The sequence below is a fragment of the Homo sapiens genome, chromosome 19 (assembly GCF_000001405.40).
Source record: "Homo sapiens chromosome 19, GRCh38.p14 Primary Assembly".
NCBI classification, from domain to species: Eukaryota; Metazoa; Chordata; class Mammalia; order Primates; family Hominidae; genus Homo; species Homo sapiens.
In genome coordinates, this window is record NC_000019.10 from 50535864 (window position 1) to 50553124 (window position 17261).

At 55.3% G+C, this 17261-nt stretch overlaps 1 protein-coding gene across 7 annotated transcripts in view, besides 1 other annotated feature; it reads right to left on the reverse strand.

Annotated features, from left to right (window-relative positions):
• LRRC4B (leucine rich repeat containing 4B) overlaps positions 1-17261 on the reverse strand; it is a 51544-nt gene that overhangs the window by 18972 nt on the left and 15311 nt on the right. For 2 of the 7 annotated variants that reach the window (NM_001080457.2, XM_011527520.4), the window contains exon 2: positions 12679-13010. In NM_001080457.2, coding sequence (NP_001073926.1) covers positions 12679-12975 — 297 coding nt within the window. In that variant the 5' untranslated portion in view covers positions 12976-13010. Of the gene's footprint in view, positions 1-6357; positions 6578-12678; positions 13011-13165; positions 13461-15016; positions 15180-15326; positions 15954-17261 lie in introns of those variants that run through there. The other 5 variants (XM_006723506.4, XM_005259429.6, NM_001348568.1 and 2 more) reach the window with 5 other exon arrangements.
• Positions 15899-16810: an enhancer, noted in NCBI's record as "H3K4me1 hESC enhancer chr19:51055019-51055930 (GRCh37/hg19 assembly coordinates)". NCBI's record gives its function as "activates a minimal SCP1, AML or CMV promoter by ChIP-STARR-seq in primed H9 embryonic stem cells {active_cell/tissue: H9 hESC(primed)}" and the evidence as "EXISTENCE:reporter gene assay evidence [ECO:0000049][PMID:30033119]".

A 17261-nucleotide genomic window follows, 5' to 3' on the forward strand; every position in this document is an offset into this window, starting at 1 on the left:
TTCCCCACCACCAGGAGCCCAGAGAGGCATCTGAACCTGGGTGTAAACAACAAGGGGATGAGATCTATATCAGAGGCATGTGCAAGACCAAGCAAGGCAGCAGGACTTTGCCTAAGGCACCTGCGGGTGGGGTGGGAGAGTGGGGTTAAGCTGAGGCACAGGCCATGGGCCTACACCGCTTCCTGGGCAGCCTTCCCTGGCCTCCCCTCACTATGTTCAGCTCAGCAGCCCCCCGCCAGCTCGTGCACGCTGCTACTGGACTTGTTTACCTTCCTTTTTTTTTTTTTTATGATGGAGTCTCGCTCTGTCGCCCAGGCTGGAGTGCAATAGCATGATCTCAGCTCACTGCAACCTTCGCCTCCCAGGTTCAAGCGATTCTCCTGCCTCACCCTCCCGAGTATCTGGGATTACAGTAACACATCACCACACCTGGCTAATTTTTGTATTTTTAGTAGAGATGGGGTTTCACTACGTTGGTCAGGCTGGTCTCAAGCTCCTGACCTCAAGTGAGCACCCGCCTCAGCCTCCCGAAGTGCTAGGATTACAGGCGTGAGCCACTGTGCCCGGATGAGACTTGCCGACTTTCTGAACGACCTCTTTCTGCACGCAGTGTCGAGAGGGCAGGGATCTCTGTATGTCCTGCTCTCTGGGCCTCGGGTGGTGCCTGGCACACACTAGGTGCTCAATAAACAAATCAGGGCTGCACTGAATGCTGCAGATGGATTAGCCGGGGCTGTTCAGACACAGGAGGGACAGCCCATGCAGGGAGAAAGATGCACGGGTCTCAGCTCAGCTCCTAGACTCGCCACGGGGTGGTGACGAGACCACGGCATCCTTGTGAGGATTAAACTGTCTCGATATCTGTAAGCCATGGAGAAGAGCGCCTGGCACAGGGCAAGCACATCTGTCTGTGACTATTTAAAGGCAGGGCAAGTTTCTGGAAGGGTGGGAAGGAAGGGGCTGGGGTAGCTTCTGGTGCCCAGTAGAGGGTGCCCCTGAGCTTGGTGTAGCTGGGAGCGCCAGGCATACTCATCCTGATCTGAGATGGGGACAGGGTGGCTTGCAGAAAGGTGTCCCCTAGGAGGAGTTGGTGTGGCGACTCCAGCTGGGTGTGGTGGCAGGGGTGTGTGGGTACAGGCTACATCTGGGAGGCTAGGAAGAAGCTGGGGCTTCCAGATGAGCAAGGACAAGGCCAGAGCCAGGCTGGGCTGTGGGGATGTAGACTGGGACTCAGTGGCAGTTCTGAGACTGAGTCACCAGGGTGCAGCGCCAGGGATAGCTACGAATTAGGAAGCATTACGAATCGCGTTGAAAAAACCAAGTTCTGCAGCCAGCCTGCCTGGGCCGAGTCCCAGCTCCGTTACTAACCATGGGACCAGGACCGTTTGCAAGTGTCTTAACTCTCCTATGCCTCAGTTTCCTCATCTGTAACATGAGAAGAATAGGACCTACTCAGGGGGCTGTCGTGAGGCTGAAATTCACTGACCCTGTAAAGGGCTTGGAGCAATGCTGGGGGCCCGACTGACATTCTCCCGCCCACCCTCGCTGAGCTGTAGAAATAATTGGTCTATTTTCTAGACGAGAAGGCAGGCTCAGAGAGGTGACTCAACGCCTTAGCGTCATTCGTGGAGGGGAGAACGCGGGTCTTGTGCCTCTCAGGACTCGCAGGCTGCTCAACAGAGATGTGGGACTGATACTCCCACCCAGCAGCCTGTCCCGAGGCTCAGGGGCCATGTGGCTTTGCAGGACGCCAAGCAATTCTACGCCTTTGTCAATTTAACTTTAACAGGTGTGAGCCACCGCGCCCGGCCGACTGTTCTTTTCTGTAAGTGTGCTGTGAGTCATCATGAGAAAAAGTTAAGAAGAAACTGACAAAGTATGGGAAATCCTATTTGAAAAGGGTAGAAACTGAGGCTCGGAGTGGTGACAAGGATTATGTGGGCCCCGAGATGGCGCTGCTGAGGGAATGAAGAGGATAACTCAGCTGGAATGAGAGCCAGGGAGGCCGCAGTTAGACACGAAGTCTCAGCAGCCCGGGAACGGACGGCAGAGGGCGCACTGCTCCCTCCTATCCAGAGGACCTCCTGGCTGCTGGTCGCAGGCCCGCGGCTGGGGAATGTCCCAGTTGACCTCAAGAGAGGTCAGCTCCTAGATTCCCCTCTACAGATCCTCCCTTCCGCCATTTTCTTTCTTTCTTTCTTTTTTGCCTTTTTTGAGATGGAGTCTCTCTCTGTTGCCCAGGCTGGAGTGCAGTGGCACAATCTCAGCTCACTGCAACCTACCTCTGCCTCCGGGTTCAAGTGATTCTCCTGCCTCAGCCTCCTGAGTAGCTAGTACTACAGGCACGCACTACCACTCCCAGATAATTTTTGTATTTTTGGTAGAGACGGGGTTTCGCCATGTTGGCCAGGCTAGTTTCCAATTCCTGACCTCAGGTGATCCAACCGCCTCGGCCTCCCGAAGTGGTGGGATTACAGGCGCGAGCCACCGCGCCCGGCCCTCCCACCGTTTTCTTCCTTAAAGGGCTCTAACTGGGAAAAGTCTGTCCAATCAAAAGCTCCATGTTTCATGCCCCTGGAGGGATCAGCCGCCTGGAAAATGCGAACTAGTGGGTAATTTAAAAGCTATTCTTGGTATTTGCCTTGATAATGCACTATGGCCGGGGTTTTTATTTGGTTAGTTTGGGTTTTGTCTTGTTTTTTTTTTTTTTTTTTTTTTTTTTTGAGACAGAGTCTTGCTCTGCCACCTAGGCTGGAGTCCAGTGGCAAAATCACAGCTCACTGCAGCCTCTGCCTCCTGGCCTCATGCAATCTTCCCACCTCAGCCTCCCAGGGATCTGGGACTACAGGTGCGTGCCACCACACCTGGCTAATTTTTGTATTTTTAGTAGAGATGGGGTCTTGCTATGTTGCCCAGGCTGGTTTCAAACTCCTGAGCTCAAGCGATCCACCTGCCTTGGCCTCCCAAAGTGCTGGGATTACAGGTGTGAGCCACCGTGCTGGGATTACAGGTGCGAGCCACCGCACGCCGCCTTTTTTTTTTCAAGACGGATTCTTGCTTTGTCGCCAGGCTGGAGTGCAGTGGCACGATCTCGGCTCACTACCACCTCTGCATCCTGGGTTCAAGCGATTCTCCTGCCTCAGCCTCCCAAGTAGCCAGGTGCCCGCCACCACACCCGGCTAATTTTTGTATTTTTAGTAGAGACAGGGTTTCACCATGTTGGCCAGGATGGTCTCGAACTCCTGACCTTGTGATCCACCTGCCTTGGCTTCCCAAAGTGCTGGGATTACAGGCGTGAGCCACCGTGCCCGGCCAGGTTTTGTTTTTTGTTTTTGCAACAGAATTACCATCCTGTAGCTGCCCCACTTTGGCTGTCTGGGCCTGGCTTCTCCACACTGACTCTCAGGGTGGGACAGACATATATACCTTCTGAGGCACATGGCAAGCCCATGGGGGCTACAGCTTGCTGGGCGACCTTGGATAAGTCACTCAGAGCCTGTGCCTCCATTTCCACGTCCATAAGATGGGAGAAGTCATCCTGCCCTCACAGGAATAAATGGGGTTAGATGAGCGCTCCCTGACCCCCTGCTCCAGATAAATGCTTTGAAATTTTTGTTTCTTTTTCCTCATTTAGGAAAAGGTGAGCAAATTCCAGTATAGCCTTTTTTTTTTCTTTCCAGCTTGCATAGGATTTTATACTTAGTATTTTTAAAGCTTAATTTGTTCTGATTATAAAAGTTATTGGCTGGGTGTGGTGGCTCACACATGTAATCCCAGCACTTTGGGAGGCCGAGGCAGGTGGATCACAAGGTCAGGAGTTCGAGACCAGCCTGGCCAGCATGGTGAAACCCCGTCTCTACCAAAAATACAAAAATCAGCAGGGCGTGGTGGCAGGTGCCTGTAGTCCCAGCTACTCGGGAGGCTGAGGCAGGAGAATTGCTTGAACCCGAGAGGTGGAAGTTGCAGTGAACCGAGATCGCGCCACTGCACTCCAGCCTGGGGGACAGTGCGAGACTCCATCTCAAAAAAAAAAAAAAAAGTTATTAAATGCTCTCACTGAAGAAAATCTAGAGAATAAAGAAAACATAAAGAAGAAATTAAATATCCCTGTAATACTAATGCAAAGAGAAAAGACCCTGTTGACCTTCCTGGGTGTTTCTCGGTCTTTTAAAATATATTGCTTAAGTTTTAAAAGTGAATTGGAGATCCTATTCACATTCTTTGAAAGCTCAGTATTACGTTTTGAGCATTTCCCCATGTCATCCACTATTATTTGAAACTCTGTTTTAAATAGCTGCATAATATTCCATTGTAATGGGCACAGTGATTCATTGAACCCAGGGGTCCGCAACCCCTAGGCCACAGACCGGTACTGGTGGGTGGCCTGTTAGGAACCAGGCTGCACAGAAGGAGGTGAGCAGCAGGCGAGCGAGCATTACTGTCTGAGCTCTGCCTCCTATCAGATCACTGGCGGCATTACATTCTCTTTTATTTAAATTACAAAAAAATTTTTTTTTGAGACAGAGTCTTGCTCTGTTGCCTAGGCTGGAGTGCAGTGGCACGATCTCAGCACACTACAACCTCCGCCTCTCGGGTTCAAGTGATTCTCCTGCCTCCTGAGTATCTGGGATTACAGACACCTGCCACCATGCCTGGGTTATTTTTGTATTTTTAGTAGAGACAGGTTTTGCCGTGTTGGCCAGGCTGGTCTCGAACTCGTGACCTCAGGTGATCCACCCACCTCAGCCTCCCAAAGCACTGGGGTTACAGGCGTGAGGCACCACGCTCGGCCAGCATTAGATTCTCATAGGAACGTGAACCCTATTGTGAACTGTGCAGGCGAGGGATTTCGTTTACTTGCTCCTTATGAGAATCTAATGCCTGATGATCCATCACTGTCTCCCATCACCCCCAGATGGGACCATCTAGTTGCAGGAAAACAAGCTCAGGGCTCCCACTGATTCTACATTATAGTGAGTAGTATAATTATTTTATTATACATTACGATGTAATAATAATAATAGAAATAAAGTGCACCGGCCGGGCGTGGTGGCTCACGCCTGTAATCCCAGCACTTTGGGAGGCCAAAGCAGGCGGATCATGAGGTCAGGAGATCGAGACCATCCTGGCTAACATGGTGAAACCCTATCTCTACTAAAAATACAAAAAAAGTAGCCGGGCGTGCTGGTGGGTGCCTGTAGTCCCAGCTACTCGGGAGGCTGAAGCAGGAGAATGGCGTGAACCCGGGAGGCGGAGCTTGCAGTGAGCCGAGATGGCGCTACTGCACTCCAGCCTGGGCGAAAATGAGAGGCTCTGTCTCAAAAAAAAAAAGAAAAGAAAAGAAAAGAAAAATTAGCCGCTCACAGTGGGGTGTGCCTGTAATCCCAGCTACTCGGGAGGCTGAGGCAGGAGAATCGCTTGAACCTGGGAGGCGGAGGTTGCAGTGAGCCAAGATTGCACCACTGCACTCCAGCCTGGTGACAGAGTGAAGCAAGACTCTATCTCAAAAAAAAAAAAAAAAGAAAAAGAAAAAGCAATGCACCATAAATGTAATGCCAAAACCATCTCCTCGACACCCCAGTCCATGGAAAAATTATCTTCCATGAAACCAGTCCCTGGTGCCAAAAGGGTTGGGGACCGCTGATGTAACCAGTCCCTTGTCAGCAGGAGTTGAGGCTACTTCTAAACGTTGGTAGTCGGGCCATCCTTAAACACAACTCTTTGAAGCCCCTCTAATAATTTCCTTAGGATGGATTGGTTTGTTCCTTAAGCTGGAACCACACTTGCTTGCCATACAACCTCATAGCCGGCCCCAGGAGGGACCCAGAGCCGCCCGCTAAAAGCCTTGGGTGGATTCAGTGGTACTTTGTTAAATTAAGTACATGAATATCCTACGGCCCGGCAATTCCCTCTGGGTATATATTCCACAGAAATGATCATGCAGCTCCCAGAGGGGTCCTGAGGGAGGATTTGCGGTGGGGCAGCTAGAAGCCTCCGGGACGTCCAGTCTCATCAGGAAGCAGTGGGGGACTTGGCAGATGGACGGGGGTGGGTGCCCATCAATTCTGTAGCAGCAACAGCAGCAGAGTGGACACACACAGCAATATGAACCACTCTCAGAAACACAGGCCGAGCGAACACAGTGAGACAAAGACAGCGATCTTAACGCAGCTTCATCTGCATAAATTAAGAATACGTGTACGCAAAGCAACAATACCCATTTTGCAAGAACACACACAAGCAAAAAATCCACAGTAAACACATTAGGAGGACTTTCTGTGGGGAGAGGGTAAGGCGGGGATATGAGGATAAAAGGGAGGGAAGGAGGAAGGAGCCAGTCCGGTGAGGACCAGGTACCTGACTGAGGAGCGAGGAGTGGACAGGCTGGGCCCAGCCGAGGTGGTGCACCTTCCCCCCAGGTCCCGAGGAGATGGAGGCGAAGATCTGCACCCGGTCTTCTCCCAGGGGGCCAGGGCATGTGAGCTGCGGGGAGGCAGTCTCCTGGCCTCTGCCTTAAAAGGCATTTCCTGAGGCTCCAGGCTTGCAGGCCCCACCAATCTCAAAAAACAGTGGTGGGGCCGGGGCAGGGCCTCAGAGAATTGCTGATTTTTTTTTTTTTTTTTTTTTTTTTGAGACGGAGTCTCGCTCTGTCACTCAGGCGGGAGTGCATTGGTGTGATCTCAGCTCACTGCAGACTCCACCTCCTGGGTTCAAGCTATTCTCCTTCCTCAGCCTCCCAAGTAGCTGGGACTACAGGCATACGCCACTATGCCTGGCTAATTTTGGTATTTTTAGTAGAGATGGGGTTTCACCATGTTGGCCAGGCTGGTCTCGAACTCCTAACCTCAGGTGATCTGCCTGCCTCAGCCTTCCAAAGTACTGGGATTACAGGCATAGCCACCGCGCCTGGCCATGATATTTTAAAAAACACATCCTCTGTCTTACTATGGGGACCACCTACTGTCTCTGTCATGTGGCAGAAGAACATTTTAACTCTCTCACCAAAGATGAATGGCAACGTTCTAGCTTCCCAGAGAGAGGCCAGCACCGTCACCCCGTGGACTTAGAGTCCCCCAAAGTCCCCGCGAGGTTCTTGCTGCCCACACCGCACCCAGGCCAGGGGCAGGCGAGAACAGGAGTCTCTGAGCCACCCCCCAGAGCTCACGGGAGGGCGTCGCAGGGATTCGCGTCGGCTCCCACCGACAGATGGCTGCAGGCCTCTGCCAAGGATCCGGGCAGGAGTTCGGGAGCTGGCCTCCCATTCAGAGGCAAACAACTGCTGGGCACCTCCTGTGTGCCAGGCTCGGCCCTAGGTGCTGGGGATCCGGCAGGGAACATTGCAAAGTCCCTGCCTTCATGCAGGTGGCAGCGCGGCGGGGGACAGATGACAACCAAGGCGGCAGGTCACACGGGAGGCTCTGGAATCCCCAGAATTCAGCCTGCCGCTACCAATGCTCCAGTGCCAGGCCCTGGTGTGTGTGTGTGTGTGTGTGTGTGTGTGTGTCTCTGTGTGTAAGGGAGAAGTACACTCAAATGAGGAAGCCACATAGAACTCACAGGGCGGTGCTTCTCTCATCATCCCTCAGACCCAGAAACTCCGCTTCTAGGAATTTATCCCAAGGGCAGAGTCCAGAACATTAGGAAGAATGAGCCAACGGATGTCCCCCCGGTGTTGTTCATATCAACTCAGAAATTGGAAATAAGGAGGCCGGGCGCGGTGGCTCACACCTGTAATCTCAGCACTTTGGGAGGCCGAGGTGGGCGGATCCCTTGAGGCCAGGAGTTCGAGACCAGCCGGGTCAATATGGTGAAACCCCGTCTCTACTAGGAAGTACAAAAATTAGCTGAGTGTCGTGGTGGGCACCTGTAGTCTCAGCTACTCGGGAGGCTAAGGCAGGAGAATCTCCTGAACCCAGGAGGCAGAGGTTGCAGTGAGCCAAGACTGTACCACTGCACTCCAGCCTGGGTGACAGAGTGAGCCTCCATCTCAAAAAAAAAAAAAAAAAAAAAGAAAGAAAAGAAAAAAGAAAAAGAAGGGCCTGGTTAAATAACAGGATGCTGGCTGGGTGTGGTGGCTTGGGCCTGTAATCCCAGAACTTTGGGAGGCCAAGGCGGGCAGATCATCTGAGGTCAGGAGTTCGAGACCAGCCTGCCCAACATGGTGAAACCCCGTTTCTACTAAAAATACAAAAAATTAGCTGGGCGTGGTGGTGTGCGCCTGTAATCCCAGCTACTTGGGAGGCTGAGGCGGTAGAATTGCTTGAACGCGGGAGGCAGAGGTTGCAGTGAGCTGAGATTGCACCATTGCACTCCAGCTTGGGCAACAAAAGCAAAACTCCATCTCAAAAAAAATAAAAAATAGGCCGGGCGCAGTGGCTCATGCCTGTAATCCCAGCACTTTGGGAGGCCGAGGCGGGCAGATCACGAAGTCAGGAGATCAAGACCATCCTGGCTAACACAGTGAAACCTCATCTCTACTAAAAATACAAAAAAATTAGCTGGGTGTGGTGGCGGGCACCTGTAGTCCCAGCTACTTGGGAGGCTGAGGCAGGAGAATGGCGTGAACCCGGGAGGCGGAGCTTGCAGTGAGCCGAGATCACGCCACTGCACTCCAGCCTGGGCGACAGAGCGAGACTCCGTCTCAAAAAAAAAAAATAAATAAAAATATAAATAAAAATAAAAAAATAAAAAAGCTAAAACTCCATTTACAAATCAGCAGCAATTGTGCAACACACTGTGCATGGGTGGGGAGGGTGTCCGAATGCAAAGACACCAAAGCGAAGGAGAGCTACCCATGGCTGTGGGATTATGGTTGGCTTCTGTCTTCCTGTTTTTACTTAGGTATATTTTCTAGTTTTTCTCAATTAATTTATATTCATTCTGTAATAAGTAATTAAAAATACACTTATGGCTGGGTTAGGTGGTTTATACCTGTAATCCCAGCACTTTGGGAGGCCAAGGTGGGTGAATTGCTTGGGTCCAGGAGTTCAAGACCAGCCTGGGAAACATAGTGAGACCCTGTCTTCATAAAAAAGAAAAAAAATCGAGACCATCCTGGCTAACACGGTGAAACCCTGTCTCTACTAAAAATACAAAAAATTAGCCGGACGTGGTGGGTGGCGCCTGTAATCCCAGCTACTCAGGAGGCTGAGGCGGGAGAATGGTGTGAACCCAGGAGGCGGAGCTTGCAGTGAGCCAAGATCGTACCACTGCACTCCAGCCTGGGCAACAGAGCGAAGACTCCATCTCAAAAAAAAAAAAAGGTCAGGCTTGGTGGCTCACGCCTGTAATCCTGGCACTTTGGGAGTCCGAGGCGGGCAGATCATCTGAGGTCGGGAGTTCGAGTCTAGCCTGACCAACATGGAGAAACCCTGTCTCTACTAAAAATACAAAATTAGCCGGGCGTGGTGGCACATGCCTGTAATCCCAGCTACTCAAGAAGGCTGAGGCAGGAGAATCACTTGAACCCAGGAGGTGGAGGTTGCGGTGAGCCGAGATCACGCCATTGCACTCCAGCCTGGGTAACAAGAGTGAAACTCCATCTCAAAAAAAAAAAAAAAAAAAAGAATTAGCTGGGTGTGATGGTGTCTCCCAGTAGTCCCAGCTACTCTGGAGGCTGAGGCAGGAGGATCACTTGAGCCAGGGAAGTTAAGGCTGCAGGGAGCCATGATAGTCCCACTGCACTCCAGCCTGAATGACAGAGTGAGACCCTGTCTCTAAAAATGAAACCATTTACATAGAGACAGGAAAGAGCCAGGAAGGCATTAGAACAAAATGTAAACAGTAGTTATTTATATCTGGTGATGGAACTAGGGTGATTTTTTCAATTTTTTATTTGGATAACTAAAGAGTTATTACTTTTTTTTTTTTTTTTTTTTTTAAGACAGGGTCTCTCTGTTGCCCAGGATGGAGTGCAGTGGTGAAATCTCAGCTCACTGCAACCTCTGCCTCCTGGTCTCAAGCAAGCCTCCCACCTCAGCCTCTTAAGTAGCTGGGACCACAGGCTCATGCCACCATACCTGGCTAATTTTTGGTTTTTTAGTGGAGATGGGGATTTGCTGTGTGGCTCAGGCTGGTCTTGAACTCCTGGGCTCAAGCAATCCACCTGCCTCAGTCTCCCAAAGTGCTGGGATTACAGGCATGAGTCACCGCGCCAGGCTAAAAGTTATTACTTTTTAAAGAGCCTCTGGGCCAGGCGTGGTGGCTCACGCCTGTAATCCCAGCACTTTGGGAGGCCGAGGCGGGTGGATCACCTGAGGTCAGGAGTTCGAGACCAGCCTGGCCAACCTGGTGAAACCTCGTCTCTACTAAAAATATAAAAATTTGCTGAGCGTGGCAGCAGGCGCCTGTAATCCCAGCTACTCAAGAGACTGAGGCGGAAGACTCGCTTGAACCCGGGAGGTGGAGGTTACAATGAGCCAACGTTGCGCCACTGCACTCCAGCCTGGGAGACAGAGCGAGACTCTGTCTCAAAATAAATAAATAAATAAATACAAAAATAAAGAGCCTCTGATTACCCTCGACGTGGTCCATGCCTCTTGCTGTCTGGGATGTGTCCACTGAGGGAGGCCAAGCCCACTGACAAACACTCACAAGCATCCACTCTCGTGGACTGGACGAACACACCCTCCATCCATGTCTCTGGGTGGGGCAGGGGGCGGTGCAAGAACCCCTGGGTGGGGAGGATGAGAAATAGAGGCGTCTGGATCCCTATTGATGCTTTTCACCCTTTGACAATGTCCACCTTGGGTGTGTGCTTTACCAGGTGCATGATATACGGAGGGAGCGGGCCTGTGCATGACTTATCATAAATGAATGTACGTCCGCTGGTGGCGCTCAGCACGTTTGTGGGACTGAATTGTTCACTGAGCCCCCTCGCCCCCCCACAAAGAGAAACGGGTCCAGGTTCTACGACGGGGATGTTGCCACGGCCTGGGGCTGCTGGTGAGTGGCGTGGGTGCCTCCCTGTCCCACGCTCTCCCTGGCCATTTCTGCAAAGCGCGTTTCCCTGGCGTGCCGTCCCAGCCACTGGCTCCTTTTCCTCCTCATTTCTTCCCCACTAGAATGTGAGCTGCCGGGGCTAGGGCTGGGCTTTGCCTGGCTCGGTCACCACCCAGGACAGGGCTTGGTGCAGAGCCGGTGCTGCCGGTGTCTGTTGAACGTCACGTGTATAAGTGGGGGAAGGATGGAGTGCAGGGAAGCCGGGGGCAGGTGCATGGGGACCGCACAGTGCGGAATGTCACCTGCTCAAGGGAGATGTGGATGGATCGGTGGAGACTGCAACTAGGGAGATGCAGGGCAGACTCAAAGCAAACTGGCAGACATGGGAGCCTGTGGGAGGTGGGCGTGGACAGAGGGACAAGGCCCTGCGGGAGCGGGGGGTGGTGATGTGACGACGCCCCTGACGTTTCTGGACCCCTTCGCTGGCCCTTGCCCCACAGCCACCAGGAAGGGACTGCTCCCCTGAGAGGTCCCTTTTCTTCCCTGAATCTGGCTCTCAGGATGGTCAGATGGGAGCAGCCAAGTCCTCCCACCCTTTCCCAGGGACAGACCAGGCAGAAAAGCAGCCGCATTTCTTACGGGAGCTGTTACATCTGGAAGATTAGATCTGGAGGGGCTGGGACCTCTGGCATCGGCACCCTCTTCTCTCCCAGCTTTACAGGCTGGAACAGGAGGAGGCTTGCTTGGAGGCAGGAGTTGGACCAAATCAGCCTGGGGTAATGATCCCCTGGGAATCACTGGCAATGCCTGGAGATATTTTTGGAACTGGGGGTGGGGTGCTACTGGCATCTAGTGGCCGGAAATGCTGGTAAACATCCTACAGCACACAGGACAGAGCCCCCCACCCTGCCCGCCAAAGGATGATAGGGCAGGCCCCAAATGTCAATAGGGCAGAGGTTGAGAAGCCCTGCTTTCTAATAGCACAGCTCTGTCCCCCCAAGCCCTCGCTTACGGCCTATCCTAATCAGAGTCATCATTAATTGAGTGGCAGCTGCCCCATCCTGAGCACCAGCCACAGGCCACCATGGCGCCAAGCACCACAGCGTTCTCAGCCTCTCTGCTCTCCAATTCTCACACCAGCTCCAGGAAATGGGGACGCAAACCCTGCACTGCCCGGCAAATGACCATGGAAACGCCTCCTGTCCTCTGACCACTCGCCAGGTGCCAGCACACAAGCTAACGCCCCAATAAGTACCAGACCCATCAGCCCTCACAGCAACACCTCAACGCAGGGGCTTGCATTGTCCCCGCTTTTCAGATGAAGAAACTGAGGCTCAGAATCATGCCGTCACCTTCCCAAGGCCACGAGAGGGTGTGGTGGTGCAGATGCCACAGGGGTCCCTGTGAAAGGGTTGCTCTCCACACCCCAGGGACTCCAGGGCTCGGCCTAGGCCGACCCGCCTGTCCTGTGCCGGGGGGGCTGGGCAGGTGGCCTGCACTTGGGCCCCGACACGGTGGCTCAGAGACAGGGAGCACTGTGCTCTCAAAGCCCGGAGGGCCTCCACTCCACCTCGGGAGCCCGGCTCCAGCTGATAGGATGCAGACCCGCAGGCCACATCCACAGGTGCCGGAGACGGGGAAGCCCCGGTGTGGGGAGGCCCAGAAGGGATGGGCTACATCTGCATGCCTCCCCAGTGTCCCCTCCAAGGTCCCCCTCTGCCCGCTGGCCCCGCATACCTGGATGCCGTTCTCTTGCAGGTTCAGGTACCGCGTGTTGACCGGGATGCTGGCTGGGACCTCGGCCAGGTCTCTCCGTGTGCAGATCACCCGGCTGGCCTGGTTGCTGCAGGAGCAGGCCACGGGGCAGGAGGTGGCCGGCGGGGAGCCCCCTCCGGCGGCAGACGTCACGGCCACTCCACCTCCACCGGCCCCCAGGGGTGGGGAGAAGAGCCAGAGGAAGAGCAATGCCCCGTGGGGCCAGGACATCCTACCGGGCGGCAGCGGGGGGCACGGGGAGCCGCGGGCACGCGCCATCCTCAATGTTCATGCTCCGCGTGGACGCTGGGGGGCTGTGGGTGGGGGAGAGAAGGGGGAGAGGCTTGGTGAGGGACAGGAGCCCATGTGGCCTGGGTGCTTGCCAACACCCAGGCAGCCCCATCGCCGCCTCCCTGCCCCATGCCCAGAACAAAGGGACAGGGAGGGAGACAGCTGCCGATGGACCCACCCAGCAGGCTGGGGCAGGCAGAGGGAAGCTTGGCCCGCCTGGCCCTGCACTAGCTCATCCTCTCCATGCTGGCAAGATTCTACGCCCATTCTGCAGCAGGGAAAACTGAGGCTGGGGGAGAGGAAGTGCCTGCCCAAGGTCACTCATCCAGTAAGTGCAGAAGTTGTCCAGATTCAAAACCCAGTTCTTTGCATGACTTCAAAAAGGTAGATACATCAGAGGAGTGAGACAGACAGACAGACAGACAAGGCGAGGGGGCAGAAACGGGGAAGAGCAAGCGAGGTGGCGAGGACCTCGCTCCCATCCCAACACCCGCCCGGTCCCCTTGCCACCTGCGTGATCACCTGGGAGGTGGGTCCCAGCCTCCTCTCCCCTCCACTCCCTCCCCCTCTCCCCATCCCAGGGATGTTAGCGAAGAGATGCATTTCCCCCACCCCCTGTGCCCTCAGCTAAACCGAAAGACCCTCCGCTGCACACCCTCCTGTCACTGCCCACCCTGTCCAGGCCCTGTGGGGGCCTCACAGCAGCTTCAGAGACTTGAGTCAGACTCATGGGAGAATCTGAGGGAGAGAGAGGTAAGGTGGCAGACAAGGCAACCGTGGAGGTGACAGGTGTGGGCAGGTGAAGGGAGGGCTGGGAGGCAGCAGGGTGAAGAGGGAGGAGACTGGAGCTTGTGTGTGAGGGTGGCTGGGGACCTGACGGGGGGCGGCACAGGCCGAGAGGCCACCAGCTGCACCCCCTCCTTTGCCCCGAGACTGTGGGTGCTCCAGGCAGAGACAGCCCCGATGGGACTCATGCCAGCTGCTGCCGCAGGACCGAGCTTGGTTCTCGGGGAGGGGATGGGGAAGGGAAGGGGGTCCAGGGACTCTGCCTGGGTTCTGGGAGGAAAGCAGACAGCGGGGACTCGGGCCCTCTGAGAAGTCACGCTGTACCTCCCCAATCTGTCCTGCCCCGCCATTTCCATGGAACCAGAGAGGGAAAGGGGATGGGTGAGTCACAGCAACGATACCAGTAACAATAGTCTCTCCGGAACACTGGGTGAGCCCTTGCAATGCAGCAAACTGTATCCCGGTCATCTCATGTGAGCCTCATAATGACCATAGGAGAAAGCTATTAGGATGCCCAATTTACAGATGGGGACACTGAGGCACTATGAGGGAAAACGGCCTGTCCAAGGGCACAGAGCAGGCCGGGAGGGCGCAGAGGGGGTACTTCGGCCCTGGGTCTACCCTCTGGCTCCCAGCTCTCCTTTGCACGCAGCATCTCTGAGTACACACAAATACACCCACACCAGCAGGCCCTGCCCCAACACAGGCCAACCCCAAACCATTCCCAAGAGACCAGGAGGAGGGCAGGTCACACAAACACGCACACCGACCCACTCACACACTCAGCAGTGATGGGGCACACCCTCTCACGGTGGACTCTCAGGACCCCCCTCTCACGGTGGACTCTCAGGACCCCCGACACAGGCTCACCCCCAGGCACACGGCTATGCACACACACAGTCACTCCCTCCTCCTGCAGTTTCCAAGACCATTTTAACCCAGATAAAAATGTGTGTGCATACGTCTGTGTATCTGAGTGCATGTGTGAGAGCGAGGGCTAGACAGAGACACAGAGAGACAGAGACAGAAGCAGAGGCAGAGAGACAGAGGGCAGGGGAAAGAGGGAGCTGGGGAGAGAAAGAGAGAGAGGTTGATTCTGTGTCCACCCGGGCTCATTTTTCTCCTGCAGGGCTGGGGCCGTGTGTCTGTGTCTGACTATGTGAGTGCGGTGAGGGTCTTCATTTTCCTGAATGTGAACAGGGAGGTCAATGCCCAGTCCTTATCCTGGGTCAGGGGCTCCTACCTCTTAAGACCCTGGCGATGATCCAGCCCACACCCTCTTAGCCAAAGGGCTGGCCCAAAGCGCAGGGCCTGGATTTGAGGCCGGGGGACCCCGCAGGGCCTGTGGGAGCCCACGGCACCCACCCCGGCCTCCAGGCCTGCCGCTGCCATGTCTACCTCCGCATCTGTCCCCAGCTCTCCCGCTGCCAGCCCGCATCCCCCCACCCCCATCACGGCTTCTGCAGCGACTCGGCCTCCCTCCCCTTCCCCCCGCCGCCCTCCGCCATCTCCCATCCTTTTCTCCCCACAACCCCACGGTGGGGGACACTCACCCTGGTGGCTTGGCTTCCGCTGGGCCTCTCCCTGCGCCCAGGCCCCCCCCTCCACATGCCTCCGGCCAGCCGGGGTCTCTGCCTCCCCAGTTCTCCAGGGCTTCCTGTCGAGATCGTGCTGGGGGGGGCGCAGGGGCTTCTTGGGTCTCCCCGCGCCCCCCCCACTGGCCTGTCGCCCTTCCCACCCCTGGGGGGGGCTGTCCTTTGGCCACTGCAGCAGTTCTCTGCTCCCCTCCCCGCTCGCCTCCTCCGGTCTCCTTCCACCCCCTCTCCCACCTCTACCTCGACTCTCCCCCGACCGCAGCCTCCTTTCTCTCCACCCACCGACCCCAGCCCCCTTAACTCTCTCTCTGCCCCTCTCGGTCCTCCCCCTCCGCCTCTGGTCCCCGTCCACCTCCTCTGGCCTCAACCCCCTCCTGAGTCTCCCCCCTCACAATCTTGCCTCCCTCGGGACCCCCAGGCCCCTTCTCTCCTTCTCCTCCATCTATTCCTCCCTCTTGCTCTATCCCTGTCACCCTCTCATCGGCCCTGAGCCCGTCTCAGTCAGGTTGTCTGTCTGTCCGTCTGTCTTGGTCCCTTTCTCCCCGGCTCTGTCTGTCTCTCTCTTTCTCCGCGATTACAATTTCTAGTCACACGGCAGTGCAGAGCCAAGCTGTGCCTCAGCTCCCTCCCTCCCCACCCCTCCCTCCTTCTTTCTCTCCTTCTGAACGGGGAGGGCGCCTCTCCTCCCTCCTCCTCAGCCTCCCTTCCCTGCGCCGCCTGGGGGAGGCCTCCCCCTCCCCCGCTAATCAAAGGCTCCGTTATCTAATTAACCCATTGGTTCTGGGCAGCCGAGGAGGCAGCCGAGGAAGGTCGGGGGAAGCGGGGGAGGAAGGTTGCCGGCTGGGCTGCCCAAGAAAGGGGGGTGGTTGGGCCGTGCCAAGCCGGAGCCTCATGGCACACAGACAGCCTCGTTGGCTGCATGACCGGGCTGGGCCACCACTGACCCCCTCGCCCCCACTTCCAGCCAAAACCCCCCAGCTTCACACCCCCCACTGGGTCTAGGCACACAATCTTGCCCAGCGTTTTCCTGCAGATGCCCCTGTACCCCAGGAACTCCTTTGAACCCCCACCATGCCACACAGCCTTTACTCCAACCCTGATATACCACACCTGATATACCGGCACTGGAACCTGCGCCCTGCACCGTCACCCCGTCCCGTGGCTGAGGGCCAGCCCCTCTCCATGCCACAAAGGCCCCCACCCCTAGAGGAACCCCTCTCCCTTGGACCTTAGCCAGATCCTGACATCCACCTCCTGACACACTTCTGCAAAATCTGCAGGGCAGCCACGTTCATTCATTCAACTTATCCGCCCATCCATCCGTCCATCCATCCGTCCACCCATCCGTCCATCCATCTGTCCATCCATCCATCCATCCATCCATCCATCCATCCATTCATCCATCCGCCCATCCGTCCATCCATCCATCCATCCATCCATCCATCCATCCATCCATCCGTCCATCCATCCGCCCATCCGTCCATCCGTCTATCCATCCGTCCTTCCATCCCTCCGCCCATCCATCCACCCATCCATCCATCCATCCATCCGTCCACCCATCCATCCTTCCATCCATCTGTCCAACAAATGTCTACCCAGTCCCTGCTATGTGCTAGACACTAGCCCAGGACACCCATGGGCCACAAAAGGCACCTCTCGAGAGTGGGGCACATTGGTGAGTGCCGAGAGGCCTGGGTTTGAGTCCTGACTCTGCTGCCACTTCCCGTGTAACCTCGGGCCGGTGGCTTATTCTCCCAAGCTGCAGTTCCCTCCACTGTGAAACAGGGATAATGGGAGTATCTGCCTCCTAGGGCCACTGTGGGGATTAAATCGCTAAATCCTTGGTAAAGAGTTCTGTCTTCACAACATATGCGGAATCAGACCCCAGAATCA